The following is an 18794-nucleotide window of genomic DNA, read 5'->3' on the forward strand; positions in this document are numbered from 1 at the left end:
AATTCCCCCTTGCTCTCTGCCCCCATCATCTGAGTAATCTATTTTAGTTAAAGATGGTAAATCAAAGGCTTGAAAGGTCAATTAATTTTGCCCCCTTTCCCACTGATCCATGAGAAATGGTGATTCTCAGTGTAAGGACCTCTGTCCTAAATTGAGAGAATGCTCTCCAAGAGACCACGTATGAAGTCTCTGGAGAAGTTATTCTGGTTGGAAATATAACAGGTTCTGTTTTTGAAATGACCGATATTTATGGTTTTTTTTTTTCTCTAAATATCCTGCTGGATCTCTCAATTGTCAAACAATCTCTGCCCATTAACTCGTCCTTCCTTAGGAGAGGCTGCCTCTGTTAGTTCTTAGTAGAACAATTCCTTTGCTGTTTCTTTAAATTACATTCTTAGGTTCCTATCTGTTGAGGTCATGGTGTGGGGTGAGTGAGAACTGAATTCAAATCTACAATGATTACCTGGTGGCTTCAGGAAAATCACTTCCTTTCTGAGTTTGTGTCAGCTTTAAAATGATGATCTGGGAATATAGTTGGCACTCAACAAATTGAATAGACAATAAGTGAGGCTACAGATGGCTGCATTCTCCTCTTAGGTCATATATTCAGTCAACACGTAATGATTGAGAAATAATAGAACAGGCTCTGTTCTGGGTGCTAGGGCCACGGCAGGGGGAAACATACAAAGTGCCTGCTGTCATGGAGCTTGACTCCTAGAAAGCATGCACATACATAGGTAAGCCAGTACTGTGTCAGGTGGAAAATGCACTATGAGTACTGGGAATGGGGAGGGTTGTTTGTGTGTGCATGTGTGATCTTGCACATATAGGTGTGATGTGTGTGTGTTTATGTAGGATGATGAGGATGGTCTCGCTGAGAAGATAACATTGGAGATGGCTGAAAGAAATGAGTGAGCCATGCATGTGTTAGAGGAAAGAGCATTCCAGGAGAAGGGTTTGCTGTGGGAGTGCGCTTGCTGGGTTTGAAACAGCAGGGAGGCAGCGTGTCTAGAGTATCATGAGAGGGGGGTTGAGGTCAGGGAATATAGGCCTTGAAGGCTACTGTGATGTCTCAGGCTACTTTCCTCTGAGCCGTAAGGCCGGCATTGGAGGGGTTCAGCAGTGGAGTAGTAGACCACAGCTCAGTGTTCCTACAGGACCGCTCTACAGCTCTTTGGGGTCATAGACTGGCTCTAGGAGGCAAGTGCTGGGGACACAAGGCCCTTGACTTTATTCTCAACATTGCCCAAGCTGCTTAGAATAATCCACAGGGATCATCACCTAAACCAGGCTTCAGAGATGTAAAGGAAAACAACAGCAACAGCAACAGCAACAGGAACAAGTCCACATTTTTAGATGTGCCTCACCCTGTGCTAGTGAGTTAAGTGTCAGGGCAGGAGGATCAAAGCCTTCTTGCTAAGGGGCCAGAAACAAGCCAAAGGGACAAGCACAGAACAACAAAAAATGTGCATGTTGGGCCTTCACAACCAACAATACGGTGCTGTCAAATCAGGTGAATGAGTGATGGGACATGGATACAATGGAGGCATTAAACATGTTAGACAACGGTTGGTGGTCCTTGCCAAACCTGAATGGAGACTGGACAAAGGCCAGAAACTCCCTGTGTCTCATGTTCCTGTCCCCCCACCCCAGTGTACACCTGCAAGAGGTGATCAGTGAGGTGGTAGGGTGAGGGTGCTCGTTTTTGTGTAGCAGATGGGGAGTCAAGAACATAAAAGGAGGCCTGCCAAGTTCCTTCCCACTTCTGGGAAGGGTTCTAGCCTCTTATTGAGAGAAGGATTAGCATGAAGGCAAAGTTGTTTACCTAAAGATGTCTATGAGCCTAAGAAGTCCGGTAGACATCAGCCCCATCCACTTCAACACATCTACCAGGAGTGCCTGGTTAGTGCCCTCCCGAAGCCAGGTGGAGGCTGCCATCTGCTGGTTGACTTGAGGATTTTTACCCAAATGTTTAGTTTGCCTTTCAATTTTTAGTGAGACAAACCTGTGTTGACAGCATTTTCTCCAGGCAAGATGCTGTCGGTTTTCTCTTTTAAACTATCACAGATTCTCATCAGGGTAGGTACACTTCATGATCATTTTGATGGATGCTCAGAAGAATTAAGCAATTAGACCAAGATGATCCAGTAATTGGAAAACATGGGATTTGAGCTCAGCTCTCACTAAAAAGATGGTGACTGTAAAGAAATTGTTATAAACACGTTGGCTTTGCAAACTGTAAAGTGTTATGAGGGAACCAGTAAATGGCAGGTGCTCCAAGTGTCCTAATTGGAAGAGTGAATGAAAGAATAATTGTGCAGAAGGATGTTCCTTAAGGCATTGTGACTCAAGGAGTCAGAGAACCCAGCTTTGACACTTGGAGGCTGAGTGAACTTGGGGGAAGTCATTTCACTACTCTGAGAAACAATTTCTTAACCTGTAATTGCAAATGTGCTGGGCAAATGTGCTAGGCAAATGTGGGAGCTGTTTTTTTTTTTTTTTTTCTTGACAGAGTCTCGTTCTGTTGCCCAGGTTGGAGTGCAGTGGTGCTATCTCGGCTCACTGCAACCTCTGCCTCTTGGGTTCAAGCGATTCTCCTGCCTCACCCTCCTGAGTAGCTGGGATTACAGGCATGCGCCACCATGCCCAGCTAATTTTTGTATTTTTAGTAGAGATGGGGTTTCACCATGTTGGCCAGACTGGTCTCGAACTCCTGACCTCAAATGATCCGCCCACCCCAGCCTCCCAAAGTGCTGGGATTACAGGCGTGAGGTACTGCGCCCAGTCGGAGCTGCTTATTTTGACTGCATGTGTGTGGTTTTATTTTCCTGTAAAATGTTGAAATCCATGTTACATCCTGGTGGGATTGAAACAATTCTCAAGAAAGCCTTTTTCTACTTCCTTTACAGAGATTGTAATTCCTCTGGGAGTTCCCTAGGGAGGGAGGAGGATGAGGGGAGTGAGCCCTCTGCTGGTTGCTTATATGTCCTGCCAGCCCAAACCTGGGCAGCAGGCACATGCAGGGCACCCCTGGTACCCCATTGAGGCTGGGGGGCACAGGTGGCCAGGGGCACATGCATCTCTAGTGAGGAAGCAGGCTTTCTAAAGAGCAATGTTGATGATGCCATCTGGGGCTGAAAACCCTTGGCAACTCTCAGCTGGGCTCCAGGACGCCAAGCCTTCAAGGCAAGGGTCTACCTCCATCCTCACCTCTGCTCCCCACACTGTCATCCCTTGTGTCCATCCACAAGCCTCCCCTTGGCCTTACCACTGGTCTTCATTTCTAGCTGCAGTCACCTTGAGGGAGGCTTCCTGATTCCTTCCCCACCCTAACCTAGTGCTCCAGGAGTTAATGGGCCCCTGAATCCAGTCTCCCATATCCCTAACTAGCCTGCCTTAATTAAAACTGATGCCCACATCCAGGAAAAATCCACTATAGGAGTTGAGGGCTGCTCAGGAACAAGGGTGGGGACATAGAGAGCTCTCTGGGACCCTAAGCCCCATGAATTTTACTTTCTAAATATCTCTTAGAACCATAGCTCTGTCTCCACGACACCACACTTAGCCAGGCTCTATCACCTTTCACCTGGATTCCTACAGTAGCCTCCTCAAAGGTCTCTTCCCACTTTGCACCTCCCAGCCAAAATCCAAATGCAACAAAAAAGATGGCTTAAAAAAACAGATGTGATCACAATGCTCTCCTGCTGAAAACTTCTCAGTTGCTTTCCATTGAACTGAAGAAAAAAAGCAAAATTTTTATTCTGGACCAGGAAGATCTGCGTGGCTGGGTTCCTACTGACTCCTGAAACCTCATCTTCCACAATGCATCTTTTGCACCTATGCCTCTGGCTTTCTCTGTGCACAGCGTGACAGCCATAGGACTATAGAGATACCTGCCTTTTGCCTTCTGCCTCTCCTGCTTCCTTCACCTGGTTAACTCCTACTTGCTCTTTGGATCTGGGTTCAAATGTCTGTTCCTCAGAGAGCCTTCCCCCTCAGATCCCCTTTAGACGTCTTCATAGCTTTTTATATTTGCTTCCAAAGCACAGCCCTCAGTTTGTAATCACACATTTGCTTGTCTGATCATGTGTTTGTCACTGACCTCTCTGGGGCACAGAGGCTGCATGGAGGCAGGGAATGTGGTTGTTTCACTCACATAGTGCTGAGCATAAGCGGGGAGGTGCTCAACACTGATTTTTAAATGAAAAGAGAAGTGAGAATCTTAGAAGGAGACCGACGAGGACAGCCCACAAGGAGCTCTCGGATTTTCCGGGCTTAGGCAAGGCATGGTGGGAAGACCAGCTTGGGTGGGGCAAGCTGAGAATGGGGAAGGACTGGGCTGTGTAGCCAGCTGTTTTGAGAGCATACAGGTCATAGGAGGCTCAGTGAGGAAGAACCTGCAAGGTGTGTCTCTCCTTCTGGAGAACAGACAGTCATGCCACACTGCAGAGGAGTATGCAGCCTGGATTTTCATCAGAATCTCCTGCCTGGTTGCTGTGGTGCCTGGGATGATCCCCAGCCTCCTCTGGACTGCTGCTTCCCCATCTTCAGAAGGAAAGAGATGAGCACGAATTCAATGCAACAAATATTCATTGAGCTCATCTTCTGTGCCTCCTGAGGGTTTCTCACAGGCCCACCCTGTGTGACCACCCTACTTTGAATACTGTGACCCTATCCCCTTACCCTAGTCCCCTTTGTCCTTATTACCCTTGAATATACCATTTAATTTGATCATTTATTACATTCATCATTCATTGTGTTTTGTTAGAATATAAACGCTATGACCACAGGGATATTTTCCTCTTTTTTTCACTGACAAATCCACACGGGAGGTGCTCCACAAGCATTTGTGAAAAGAATGAAGTTCTGTTTTCCAGTTAGTGTGGCTTGTTGAAAGGAATAAGATATCTTCACTGAAAAGAACTTGGATTTTGGAATCAGGCAGCCTGGCTGTGAATCTTGGTCTGACCCCAGTGGCATGGCTGCGAGAAGCCACCTGACCCCTCTGAGGCCTAGTTTTCTACATGACATGGAATAGTTCGATTTGTCTCACAGGTGACTATGATGCTTAGGATACTTTGGATATTTAAAGTGTCAAACACAGTGCTGGGACTACAAGAGGGTCAATAAATGTCACAGGCTCATGGTTTAGGGAGGAAAGTATTAGCCAAGGTATCTGGCTTCAAGGACCTGAAATAATCTAGGACTACCTAAGCAGAAAAGGAATTTTCTGGAAGGATATCAGGAAGCTCATAAAACTGACAGAAAGTTTGAAGAAGCAGGCACAGAAAATTATCAGGAACCAAAGGAGGCCAGGTAGCAGGAATCATCAGCCAGTCTGCCTTTGTCACTGCTGGAAACAACTGTCACCATTAGAGAGAGATATGGCTATACCCTGCGTGGTGCTGGGCCACAGATCCCACGGATAGATGGCCTCAGTGCTAGATTCTGTGGGGGAGCCAGTCTCCTACACTCTATGTTTTGCATTCATTGCTAAAGGTTAGAAGTCCCTCTGTGGGCATCTAATTGGCAAAGCCCAAGTTACGTGCCCATGCCCTGGCTATCAAGGGGAGGAGGAAAGAGTATTTTCCTCTGTGGCTTCCTTGGTAGGAGGCAAGGTTCTCAAATTTCCTAAAACTGGAAAGGACTTTGGATGCTGGGAAGCCATTAAATGACCAATAATCACTATAGGAAGAGGGGCAGGAAGTAGAAATCATAATGGATAAGGCCAGCAGGCAGCTGTAACAGTGGCACTCAGTGCTCCCAGGGGTGGGCGAGCCTGCCGGGGTCCCTGAGGAGAGTTAAAGGAGAGGGGGTGGAGGAGAGCCACAGAGCCTAGCACAGGTCCCCAAGTCTAGCAGCAGCTAGGGTGCCATGACTGCTCCTAGGCTAGAAGGGGCAAGTGAGAGAGCACTTTTCTAAACCTGAAGAGAGAGTTGCATGGAGACAGTCAGTTGACAGTGGCTACGGCTCTCTTATGTGGATGCTGACAGCCCACTGTGATGCTGTATAGATGGAGCTGGGCAACAAGTGCCCTGACCCACCCCCACTCATAGTCTCTTCCCTTCAATGTCCTGCTGGCTTTTCCCATTTTGACATCCACCTGGAAGCTGGGAGTCATTGATGCAATGAAAATAGGGTGGCCTTGAAGTACACAGAGCAGGGAGAAGGGGAGCAGATGAGAGAAGGAACAAAGGGAAGGTCGAACACCCTGGAAATTACTTCCCAATAGAGATATTTTGACTGTTTCATGGGGGCAGGGGTAGGGCCCAGGTCTTGAGGGTGAAGTGGAATTTTAAGAGAACTTTCAAGATGGAAGAGGTTTCCTGAAACAAGCCACAGAGCCAGAGGCTGAAGGACACGTTTGAGAAATGATTAGCTCACACTAGAGACTGTGGTCTTTGAATGCCATGGCCTCAGACCCGGTTGCCTGCCCTGTCCCCATTTGGGTTATTACTGACTCCTGTTTGATGTGGCTTCTTCACCAATCCAAATTTGATTCTTGTGTGGCTTGTGGGGAATACCTTCAAGCTTAATTAAGTACATCTACAGTTCTGGAGAGGAGATAGGACTTGGGTTTAGAGACTCACAAGTCAGCAGCCAGTGGAGAGGTAAGCCTCCAACTCGAGGCCTGGTTGCTACAGGGAGCCCGTTTGTTTGGATTTATATAGCCAGGAGAGCGTTGCTATGGCTGAATTGCATGCAACCGTTCTTATGATCTGGAACAGCACATTGTGTATCTAACATGACAGCATTTATTAAAGCAAGATAAACTCAGCAACAAAGGATATGGCTGGAACCATAAATTCCTCTGATCCTTGCTCCAGAGCCATCACATTCCATTTGAATGAGGCCTATCAGCCCAAACTTGACTTATTTTATTAAATAAGTCAATTTTCTGAAAATCCCTAAGAGAATGAACTGGGAATTACTCTCCCCCCATATACCCTTGTTTAAAAAGAGAAATGTTATGCGTTGAGCAGTTCTGACTCACTATATTTGCTGAGGACTAACAGACCTGCCATCCAGGCAATGGGTTCCCCATCACTAGATGTGTTCAGTCTGAGGCTGGAGGAATATGGGCTTGCTCCCTTTTTGGGGACTGCAGTGTAGAGGAGAAGGCGATATTCCTAATAGACATTCTTCCTAGTTTTCAGAGTTCAGGATTGTAGAAGCCTGAGGAAGCATCCAGTTGAACTGCCCCCATATCCCATTCTGCAACCTTCACTCTCTTGCCACAGCACACATTTCCCCAAAGAAGGAGAGATTTTCATTAAGGGACCGGGAAAGAGCAGGAACATTGGAGCCAGAAGACCTGGGTTTAAATCCAAATTCTATTATTTATTGAGTAGTAGCCACAATCAAGTCATTGGGTTTCTATGAACCCCAGTCCATCTCATATAAAGTGATAATGATGATAGCTAACATGTACTAGCACTTAATATACACCGGGTACCATTCTAAGGGCCTCAAATGGATAACATAATTTATTCTTCACAAAAATGTTCTGAAATGAGAAGTATGAGTGTCCCTACTTTACAGAAGAGGAAACTGAGGCATAGAGAGGTTAGGGAACTTGGGAATGGTGGAGCCAAGAATTGAACTCAGGCAGTCTGCCTCTGGGGATCTTAGCCCATGTGTGGTAACAATACTTACCTCAACTATATCATAGAGTTTCTAGGAGTTGCATTAGAAAATGAGTATAAAAGCATCTTTTAAACCATAATCTATTAGTCTTGGAAATACTGAGCAAGATGCTGAATCTCAAGTTGTAAGCTTTTTTTTTCTTTTCTTTTTTTATTTAGAGACAGGGTCTCCCTCTGTTGCCCAGGCTGGAGTGCAGTAGTGTGATCATAGCTCACTGTAACCTCTAACTCCTGGGCTCCAGTGATTTTCCTACCTCAGCCTCCTGAGTAGCTGGGACGACAGGTGCGCACTACCACGCTTGCCTAATTAAATTTTTTTTTTTTTTTTTTTCTGTAGAGACAAGTTCTCACTATGTTGCTCAGGCTGGTCTCAAACTCCTGGGGTTAAGCTATCCTCCCACCTTGGCCTCCCAAAGTGTTGGGATTACAGGCCTGGCCTGTAAGCTTTTCCCAAGTGTGTTCAACTTTATTTAAAAAAAGTGCTTCCCTCTCTCCCAGTCTTTAGTCTCCTTTCCACCCCTCCCACTTGACCACTATCCCTACTTACCTTTCCTATCCCAACATTCCCCGCTTTGTTCAAATGATTGGCTTTGGTGAAATTCAGACTCAACAATTCAAAGCAAAATAACAAACTCAAAAGTACTTGTGCTTTTATTTAAAAAAAAAATACAATCAGGTACTGTCCAGAAATGTTTTGGAAAGAAAGATCTCTTGAAAAATCCTTAGTTTTCATCATCATCATCATCATTATTATATTAATAATATTAATCATATCCTTAAAATGGAAACAGTATTGCTTTTCTGGTTTCTGTTGTATGAAATGTAAAAAAAGGGATGGCTTCCAATGACACATTTAATCTTTGCTAACAAAAATAATGACAATTAATTATACAGCTTCATGTAAAATACGGCTGGTTCTAAAACAAACTACCCCTGTACATCCTACCCCTCTCCCATTCCCAGAGCCACCTAAGAGAAGTAAAAAACTATTGCGATGTTGTCACTGGGAGATTTTTGCTGAATCAAACAACAAAACAGAAACATGTTGGAGACTGATGTCTTTGGTGCAAAGAAAGAAATCACAGAGGAGGTGAGGCCCATGCTGTTGCCGTTGGCCCCAGGGATCCATGGTCAGCTTTGACTCTCACCAAATGCCCAGGTGTGGACCGATGGTTGGGCTGGTTGTATTGATGCTTTGGTAAAATCCTTTCCTCGCTCTGGGCCTTATTCCTCTCTCACCCAGTGGTCCCTGGAATTTATGCCCGTTTGCGCCTGCCTTCAAGATTTCTGAAGTTGCTTGGTCTCAGCTTCATCTCAGCAAACTGGATTGAGTGTTCGTGGCCCTTCCAGTGGAACCAGTTAACGCCCTGTTAAAAAAAAAAAAGAGAGAGAGAGAGAGAGAGAGAAGGCCTCCAGGTTGGTTACTGTTAGGCGAGGTGTTCACTGATCATTGCTATTTAGTCATTCAAACTAAATGAGTTCTGTTTCAATTTGACCATTTGGTATATCACAGCTGCCTCTTGCCTATCTCTCTGTTGGTCTGGGTTGTGGAAACTTTCAAAGGAACTGGCTGAATCTGACCCAGTTTTTCACCTGAGTCAAGAGTCGCCTGAGTTTGCATGGAGCTTTGGTCTTTCCTCTTGAGGCAAAATGGTGGCTGATGAAATCTGCCGTCCTTAGGAATAGGTTCTGAAGGAGTTCAGGTCATTATTAGAAGTTCTAGAATTGAATAGCTACATACATGGTGTGTGTGTGTGTGTCTGTAATTCACGAGATTCCTATGGAGTATTTTGATAGGGGTTTGGTATGGAATAGCAGAACGAACAGCTCAACAAAACACAGTTTTACAATTTGACATATAGGGTTAAATATCAGTGTTCTTACTTGAGAGATAAATAGTCTTAAGTTCTCAATATCTTCTGAGCCTCGGTTTTACTATTTTTTTTTCTTTCTTAAGATCTGATAATGTTAGCCTTGAAAGATGAGATGAAGATTAAATGAGTTTGTAAAGGAGCTATCACAGAGCTGGGCACGTCGTAGGTGCTTGGTAAATATTACTTCCCTAGTCTCAAGTAGGGGGAAATATCCTTGAAATTTTGGCCAAAGCTTTCTACAAGAAAAAACTGTATCTGTGTCTTGGCTTCCAGGTTTCAACTTTGACTCTTCAGCGAAGTCTGCAGATGGTAGAGTCAATCCATGAAACCCCACATGGCCCCTTGCCCCACTGTGGGGAAGTTAATGGCTAGTGAGATGGGAAAAAAATAGAGACACTTTATTTGCTTCTAATTGTTTGGCATTCACTGACATGGGCAGTTTCTGAGTCTTACAGGGATGTGAGGTTTAAGAATGGCTCATTCATTTCATGGGCAAATCCGCTTGTAATTACTCAGTTACAGTGAGTATGGTAGTCCAACAGCTTGGTGCACATGCTGCCTGCCTTTGCCCTGGTTCTTTCCTCTGATAGTTCAGGGTTGGAAGCCACGCCTTCTTGTACTGTGGTGGGCACTAAAGCCAGAGAGGGAGAGTGACTTTGCAGAGGCCACACAGCAGGAGGAGCAGAGCTGGAGCTGGGGCTCCCCTCCTGTGGCTCCTTTCCATGTCATCTCTTTCTTCTTCCATAATTGAATGGAAGGATGAAAGAGAGGCTTGCTTTCTAACATGTAGCTTGTTGGTTTTTTTTTTCTTTTCCCAGAAGAACTTTGTATTATACGAGTATTTTTGAGACAAGGCAATAAAGATGATAAAATAATGCTCAGAATGGAAATATTGATGAAATAACACAATAAGATGGAAACAACACAGGACTGCTGTCAAGAAATGTCCTGTGACTCTTGCCTCCTCTGTAAAACAGGCATGAAAAACCACATCCTAATTCCTGCACAGGGTAAAAATGATAAACCCTTGAGATACAGAAGGTAACAGTGCTTTGAAAAGTGCCAGAAATTATGTAAGGTAAGGTCTACACTTAAGGTCGCAGGTGTCATTTGCTAGCAGTTAATTAGGGCATAAACATGTGTATCAAAGTGACTAATATTGAAAAGCAACAGGTCCCAACACCTGCTGCATGTCAGGAATCGCTTGTGGAGTCTATCAACTGCCTCCCCCCTGACCCCACAACAACAAAAATGCAAATATGCAAAAAAAAAAAAAAAATGAGATGCTGTGTCTTGCCTGAGATCATTGAATCAGAATCCCTGGGGTTATCATAAAGTGGAATTTGGCCCTTTGCATTTTTATAAAGTCCTTGGGATTCCAGTGAGCAGACCTCATAAGCATCCTTGTGGTCCAGGGATCAGCGTGGTGTGGCCCCAAGGGAAGATCCAGCCCTCCTCCCAGGGATGGTGACTAACTTCTGTGGAGGGACCTGGGCAGGGGTTTGGTTATGATTAAGTGGCTAGTCCCACACAGCTTTACACTTTTCAGGAATGTGCCAGTGTAGGCAAGGCTCAGAGTAAGGGAGATTACTGAATTTGATCCGTTCGCCTATTTCTAAAAGGGATCGAAAAAAATCTGTTTCTGTGATTGTAGAAGTGCTAGAGGTGTGTGTGGTGCAGGGAAAATGCCAGGGGCTGGAAGTGGGGAGAGCTGGCTCTGCTGCCAACTTCACTCTGTGACCTCAGGAAAGTCAGCTTTTTCTGGGCCTTGGTTTCTTCACAAAAGGAGGAGATTTAAAGTCTGTGGACTTCATTTTAAGGTGTTCTTGGGATTCCAAAGATGCCCCAGGCCAGGGGTTCTGTGTCATCAACCCTGCTTCACCTAAATGGCCTCCACTTTTATCTGCTTTACTTTTGGGGTTCAGACAGAGATTTTGTCTGAGTAAAGCGTTCTGTTTTTGGAATCCATTTGACCAGTGTTTGTCCTTGGGACTGTCAAGGGTTAACCTGTGCTGTTTCTATTTTACCTGGCCTGCAGTGTCCTTGAGATTGCTCACTGCCTTGGGAAAAACATGTTGTCATACAAGTAAGGTTCCTGCCTCCTAGTCTCTGCTAGGATAGGGAGTTAAATTGTACTTCCATTAGCCCCCTCCAGCTTCCCAAGCTTGGCCTGCTCTGGGCCCTCACGGTCCACTCACCTGACTGTGGTTATTGTCCCCATATCTCCCCATCAGGTTGACACGGTGACAGTTCCTGTACCAGAAAGCCCCTTTGTAGGACAGAGCACAGTTGGTGATGGCTGAATCTGTGTCCTTGTCAAAGGTGGAGAAGGATCTGCCATTGTGGTAGGCCATGGAGTCACCTGGGAGAGACAGAAAATATGGACCTGAGAAATCTCAGCTGAAATTTCCCTCCTGGACAGTAAAGGGCAGAACCAGAGGTGACAATTGAAAGGTTCTGGGTGTGGGACTGGCCTTGAACATTGATCCCAGAGTCAGCATTGAATGCGGAACTGAATGGGACATGAGTGTCACCCCAGTACTTATTTCCGACAGAAGCAGCATAATGTGGTGGGAAGAGGGCTGTGGCTGGCTTTGGAGAGTCTAGCTTCGAATCCCATCTTTTCACTTTTTAGCTGTGACCTTGCACAAGTCAAGCATCTTGTTGAACCTCAGTTTTCTCATCTATACAATGGAACCAGCACTTTGATTCTATATACTGAGTAGTGCCATTGTGACAATAAAGGTGTATGCTAAACAGGTGGCATGGCATACAAATACTTACTATGATTGTTATTTTTATGACTTTTCTGCATTCCCTTTCTATAAAGACCTCAGAGAGTAAGGTGAGAAGTATGCATTTAATAATGGCATGCTTTTCTCCCACATACAAATATTTATTAGTCATAATTAAGCCCTTCAGACATTAGATGTCCCTAAATAGTCTCTGTATCACATAGTTACTTTTTAAAGTATTCATCAGACCATGTTCCGTGATTCTTAGACAAGAAGCCCATTAACATGTACTACTATTTGGAAATCTAATTTGTAATTTAATATATTGAATTTTTGAAGCATTTCAGTACCATTGCTTTGTGGGTCTCCTCACTCCCAATCCAGACAAGTGCTGTGCACAAACATTTCAAGACTCTGAGGCATTCTACCGTCATAATTTGGAGCAAGTTGTCAAAGGAACCCAGATACCTTTTTAACTGATGATGCTACCCAGAGCATGAGGACGGCACGTAGATATTAATGAAACAGGATGCTCTCCTGCAGAAGGCCTGGGTGCAGCCAAATCACACAAGAAAATGCAGCCTTACAAACGTTATCTCAGTAAAGGGAAATATTATGGCTCATTCCTCAATGGAAGCACAAAGAGAGAGGAACAGAGGCCACATTCCTGCTGCTTAATGAATTTGCTTGCCCTGTAACATTCTTCTTCTTGCCTGAAGCCATCTCAACCAAAGAGGTATTCATTTCCAGGTAATAAAATGCCAACATTCTTTGAGGGATTCAAGAACTAAAGCAATGTTTGCCCCTGGGTGTCTCTCTTTATTATCACTAAACTGCCATCTCAAAAGAGCTTTGTGCCTCCTTAGGCTCAGCCTGGCTTTGGCAACCTTTTATCTGGAGACTTTTCACCTTATGGATGTTTTCTTTCAGGGCTCAGGGAGGCTGGAAACGTGCCAAGCTTCTATCTCTTCTGCTCTCACAAACATAACAGAAAGCCACCCAAAGTGGGCATGGGTTGCATGGGGGTGGTCCACACTCTCAGTCCTGACCCTTCTTTGTCACTGAGAACATTGTCGGATGCAGTTTTCTGCAGCCAGGATTGCATCCACCTTCTACAAGCTGTTTTACCTTGGACAAATCACTGAGCTCTTCTGAACTTCTTTCCTCCTCTGTATAAAAACAACGTCTTCATAAAATGGTTTTATGAGGAATAAATAAGATGAATGCAGGTGGAATATCTACAAAAGAGGATGGTACCTAGTAGGGCCTTAATACATGTTGTTTCCTTATTTATTTCTCCTCTTATGTGGAGCCAGGAAACCACACAAAACCACTTCAAGTCCAAGAAATCTTCAAGACTGGAATGAAGGTTATGAGCCAGACAAGGAATGCAGGGGCCACTTGAGAGGTGAGACCTTCTATTTATGAGGATGCAGGCTGAGACTAGATGACCACATGGCAGGGATGTCTTGGAAGAGATTCAAGCAGCTAGGTGATGGAGTGGATGGTTTGCTACTCAAGCTGTGGTCCACAGACCAGCAACACCAGCTATATTGGCATCACCAGGGAACTTGGAGAAGATGCAGAATCTCAGCCCCATCCCAGACAACCTGTGTCAGCATCTGGAGATTCACAAGATCGCCAGTGGGTCCATACACCCAGAGTAAATTGAGAAGTGCTGGATTGGATGAATATTAAGGCCTTTGGGGAATTTTTTTTTTAATCAGTCTACAACTGATATCTAAAACTGGGTAAGAAAGACACACTTTTTTTGAAAGATGGTCATTAGAAATCAATCCTGATTGCCCTGATTCCCAACATACTCAATGTTTCAGGACCCAAATATCTACCCAACACTTTTGAATTGTAGTTTTTCTGGATTGGCACTCAGTAGGTACTTAAATATTTGTTGATTTAATAAATTGCTGGATTAATGAGGAAGGAATGAAAGTTAGAGAAATAAACTGTAAATGTCAAGAAGGTCTCCATGGCTTTGTAGGCTCTACGTGCAGCCACTACTGTACCTGCTGTCCCACTGTACCCCTCCACCTTCAGCTTGTAGCGAGTCTTGGCATCTCCCACGCTGAACTTGTCATAGACAGCAAAGGCTGTCTCCCCATGGTCCCGCAGGTCCACCCGGAGCTCGTACTGCCCCTGGGCTGTGATTTTGTTCAGGTTGTCCAGCCCTGTGGATGACAGGCAAGGGTTGCTAAGAAGCACAGGTGACTGAGGCCCTCATTTCTATTTCACTCTGTAAAAGCGGCAACTGGGTACACTTAAGACAGGGCCAACTGGGCCCAGTGGCTCATGCCTGTAATCTCAGCACTTTGGGAGGCAGAGATGGGGTGGGAGGGGGTGGGGGTGGGGGTGGTGGGAATCACTTGAGGTCAGGAGTTCGTTATCAGCCTGGCCAACATGGCGAAACCCTGTCTCTACTAAAAATACAAAAATTAGCTGGGTGTGGTGGTGGGTGCCTGTAGTCCCAGCTACTTGGGAGGCTGAGGCAGGAGAATCGCTTGAACCCGAGAGGCAGAAGTTGCAGAGAGCTGAGATTGTGCCACTGCATTCCAGCCTGGGTGACAGAGCAAGACTCCATCTCAGAAAGCAAAAAAAAAAAAAAAAGGGCCATATCACACAGGCCTGTGCTTGAAGCTCAGTCTTGTGCTTGCTGGAGTAATACTAGGCTCAGGTAAAATCGGGTTGACATTTTTGCCCCACTTCCAACCTCCCAGTGCATTAGTGAAGATCCAAGGAGATAAGGTGGTGAAAGTACTTTTTAAACTCTAAAGTGCCTTACAGGCCAGGCACGGTGGCTCACGCCCATAATCCCCACACTTTGGGAGGCCAAGGTGGGCGGATCATCTGAGGTCAGGAGTTCGAGACCAGCCTGGCCAACATGGTGAAACCCTGTCTCTACTGAATATACAAAAATTAGGAGGGCATGGTGGAGGGTGCCTGTAATCTCAGCTACCTGGGGGGCTGAGGCAGGCGAATTGCTTGAACCCAGGAGGCAGAGGTTGCAGTGAGCTGAGATCACACCACTGCATTCCAGCCTCGGCGACAGAGTGAAACTCTGTCTAAACAAACAAACAAACAAACAAATAAAATTTTGTAAAGTGCCTTACAAATGAAGGGCAATGAATAATATAGATAAATGTTTATTATAATATGATAAACATTTTCTGGGGTAGGCAGTGGTGCATAGAACAATGTTCTCTGCAGTTAGGTGGTTGGAAAGTGTGGATTGCATGGATGAATGGATGGGTGATAGGATTGTAGTGTTGACTTAGGAGATTCCAAATTTCAGCTCAACTGTTCATTGGTTAGACTCCTATGGGCAAACCACTCAGTCTTTTTGAGGCTGTGATTTTATCCATGCGAGGTGGTGAGGAGAGCAAAAATCACCTGGTGACCATCAAGTAGGACTCGGAGACAAAAACCCCTTAACTGAGGGATTTAAAGGTAATTAGGCTTCCGTATATCTCAAGCAAGCATCTGGTTCCAGGTTTATTTCCCAAAAATTTATAGGTAACTGGAACTTCTATACATCTCTGGAATACATGCATATCAAAACTCATTTTGCAACCCTTGCTGACATTAAGGCACCAAAATGTCTACAAATGTAATCATGTATCATGTTCTACATGGCTAATAGGGTCCAAATTATCCTTAAGCTCCTGCCTTAAGGTCCATAAATACCCCTAAGGAAAAATCCACTGCAGGGGCTGTAAGTCCTTTTGCAGCATTCTTTCTTTCTAATAAACGTTCCTTTTTCAAACCTATACTGTTGTTAGTAAATTCGTCTTACCAACCCACTAGTCAACCACTTCTGACACCTGACACCTTGCCCACCCGGTGGCAATTGAGTACTTTGTAGGGGTGCTATGGGGGTTAAATATTATGGCTCTAAGAAACCCATCTTAGCACCTGGAGCACAACCTGGGGCACAGGAGGGAAGATATCAATGATATCAGTGAGGAGGATTCTATGACTGGTCCAGAGAATGACTTAAGGCTAGGTTAACACATAAGGGCTGAGTTTTGGTTCTTCCTTAATCAGATTTTACTTTTTGTGAAAGGAAAATAAAATCTTGGGACCCCAATTTAACTCTGCCAATAGGAAAAAAAATAAACTGAAAGCCGAGTCATGGGAGAAACTGCCTCTCCTTTTGTCCCTAAGCAGATGCTACAGATAAAAGGCCAGATATCTCCACAGATAGTTATTCTATCTTCACTTTATCTTATGTAAAGTGCCGATTTACTGAGTGTGAGATGAATACAAAATTGACCATTCTCTTTTTTGTCATTCTGCTTTTTTCTTTTTTTTATCTTGCAACATGTGGATTCAGTAATGTGACCATATCCCTCCAGCCCACTTTTCCCCTTTAAATACTAAAGCTCTCAACATTATCTCTGAAAAAAAAAAAAAAAAAAAAAAAAAAAAAAAAAAAAAAGAAAGTCATGGACCACAGGTTGTTCCTGTGGCTTTCCCCCTTTAAACACTAAAACTCTTAATATTATCTCTGGAAAAAAAAAAAAAAAAAAAAGGCATGGACCACAGGCTGTTCCTGTGGCTTTGTGTTCTTTTTTTCTGGGCGTGTCCTTAACGTTGGCTAAGTAAACCTCTAAATTGATTGAGATCTGTCTCAGATACTTTTTGGTTTACATTTTGATGATTCAGAGCATTTAAATGATAGTCTTTTTCATTAAGAATTTGACATTCTGTGTCTGCCACCAGAAGTAGTTCTTCTTCCTCATCTCTTTCTCTCCCATAGGTCCCTGTGGGTTAGGAAAAGTGACAAGGAGGGCAGAATCAGGCATTTTAGATATAAACATGCAGGGCTGCATTACCAAGCCAGAATTCTTCTCTGCGGTCCCCAAATCCAGCAGCATATGCCTTCCAGTTTTGGTAGAAGTTCTCGCGTCCGTTTTTGCGTCTCAGGAACACCTATAAACATATCGATGAATCTGGGTGTACTTAAGCTATTGCAGGAAAGAGGGCATCGTTGTGAGAGGAAGGAGTGTGGCACTGTGGAGAGAGCATCAGGCTCCATTCTGTCCATCCCTAATTTGCTATGTAACTTTGGGTGGTCACCTGCCCCTCCTTAAGTCTTGGTGTTCTCACCTGAAAAACAGGGATTAAAAATACCACCCAGTTTTGGGTGATAATGATGTGTCAATGTAGGTTCATTGATTGTAACAAATGCACCATTCTGGTGCAGGATATTGATAATGGGGAGGTTGTGTGGGTGGGTGTGGGGTGTATATGAAAACTTCTGTTCACTTAATTGTGCCATGAACCTAAAACTGTTCTAAAAAAATAGAGTTTATTAATTCAAAAATACACTACCCAGCTCCTATGGTAATGGGGTCGGAATAATTCATCTTAAACTCTTAGCACAGTGCCTGGTAGATAATAAATGCTTAGTCAGTGCTAATTAATGTAAGCAATGGGTTCAATGATCAACTGTCATTTATACATCACAGAGTTGTTTGATGAGGATTGGATGAGATAAACTACAAGAAACTTATCTCCCCGTTTCAAAAAGTAGCCAGCGTGTTTCCCATTCTTTTGTTTAAGAGAGAATTCCTGAGTGCCTCTGTGTGACAGGCACTATCTTGCAAGGCCTCACACATGGGGGTGTCAGAGTGCATCAGGAGGAGATCACCCTCTTCTCCTCCCCTGCTTTGCCCTCTCCCTCTTCCCCTAGGCCTGAGGGCTCTGCAGTCCCTGGTGGTACTCACAATCCATCCACCCCCATCAGAGGTCATGTCACAGAAGACTTCCAGCGCCTCAGCCTTATCACCATTCAGATAAATGGTGTAGAGGCCAGAGGTCGTGTCTCCATTCAGCATTGCTTGGGAGCAGTCCTTGGGGAAGGGGTACAGGAGTCCAACTGTGGAATAAGGAGAAATGGTGATGCTCTCAGTGCAGGAGGACTGAGCTGGAGCTTAATTCTTAGCTTAACTCTATGGACTAGAATGCCTGGGGAATTTCCAGGTGCAATAATGTGATGCAAACAATTAAAAACTCATAGAAATGGGCAATCTTGGAACTATGCCTAGTAGATGGGTCTTAGAGCTGATGATCATAGCAGTTCTTTTTTCTGATCTGAGGACATTCATCTGAGGTTGTATCATGAGCTGTTTTCTTATTTATTTCACAGCCCTAGTATAAGAGCATCTTTAGGATACATTCATAGTTAGCATCTGGCATAAGATCTGGCAAAGGGGAAGCACTTTCTTCAGCAGATGTGTGCAGAATGACTGTCCCGTGAATTTTCAAAGGCAGGGCTCTCCAAAGGCCAGCTCCTCTGGTCCTCAGGAATGGATGCCACTCTTACTTATCAATGGAACAACTTGCAGGTTTGCTATCTGCAGAAGATACTTTGTGACAGGTGCAGGGGGAGGCTCCCTGGGCATGGAATATCTGAGCCCAACTCTGACTGTAACTCACAAGATAGTCTTGAACAGGTCATTTAGTCTCTGAAAGTGTCTGCTTCCCCACTAGAACTTTGGGCATAGGGCTCACCATACCAG

General features: G+C 44.6%; 1 protein-coding gene across 42 annotated transcripts in view, besides 1 other annotated feature; it reads right to left on the minus strand.

The window, feature by feature from the left end:
- Positions 1837–2026: an enhancer, noted in NCBI's record as "active region_28881". NCBI's record gives its function as "activates an Ori minimal core promoter by ATAC-STARR-seq in GM12878 lymphoblastoid cells {active_cell/tissue: GM12878}" and the evidence as "EXISTENCE:reporter gene assay evidence [ECO:0000049][PMID:35858748]".
- Positions 7321–18794, minus strand: part of TNC (tenascin C) — a 98583-nt gene continuing 87109 nt past the window's right edge. For all 42 annotated transcript variants that reach the window (NM_001439099.1, NM_001439096.1, NM_001439098.1 and 39 more), the window contains 5 exons: positions 18000–18151; positions 17106–17202; positions 14280–14441; positions 11719–11882; positions 7321–9013 (listed from right to left, as the gene is read on the minus strand). In NM_001439099.1, coding sequence (NP_001426028.1) covers positions 8903–9013; positions 11719–11882; positions 14280–14441; positions 17106–17202; positions 18000–18151 — 686 coding nt within the window. In that variant the 3' untranslated portion in view covers positions 7321–8902. The remainder of the gene's footprint in view (positions 9014–11718; positions 11883–14279; positions 14442–17105; positions 17203–17999; positions 18152–18794) is intronic.

Source organism: Homo sapiens, chromosome 9, assembly GCF_000001405.40.
Source record: "Homo sapiens chromosome 9, GRCh38.p14 Primary Assembly".
Taxonomy (NCBI): Eukaryota; Metazoa; Chordata; class Mammalia; order Primates; family Hominidae; genus Homo; species Homo sapiens.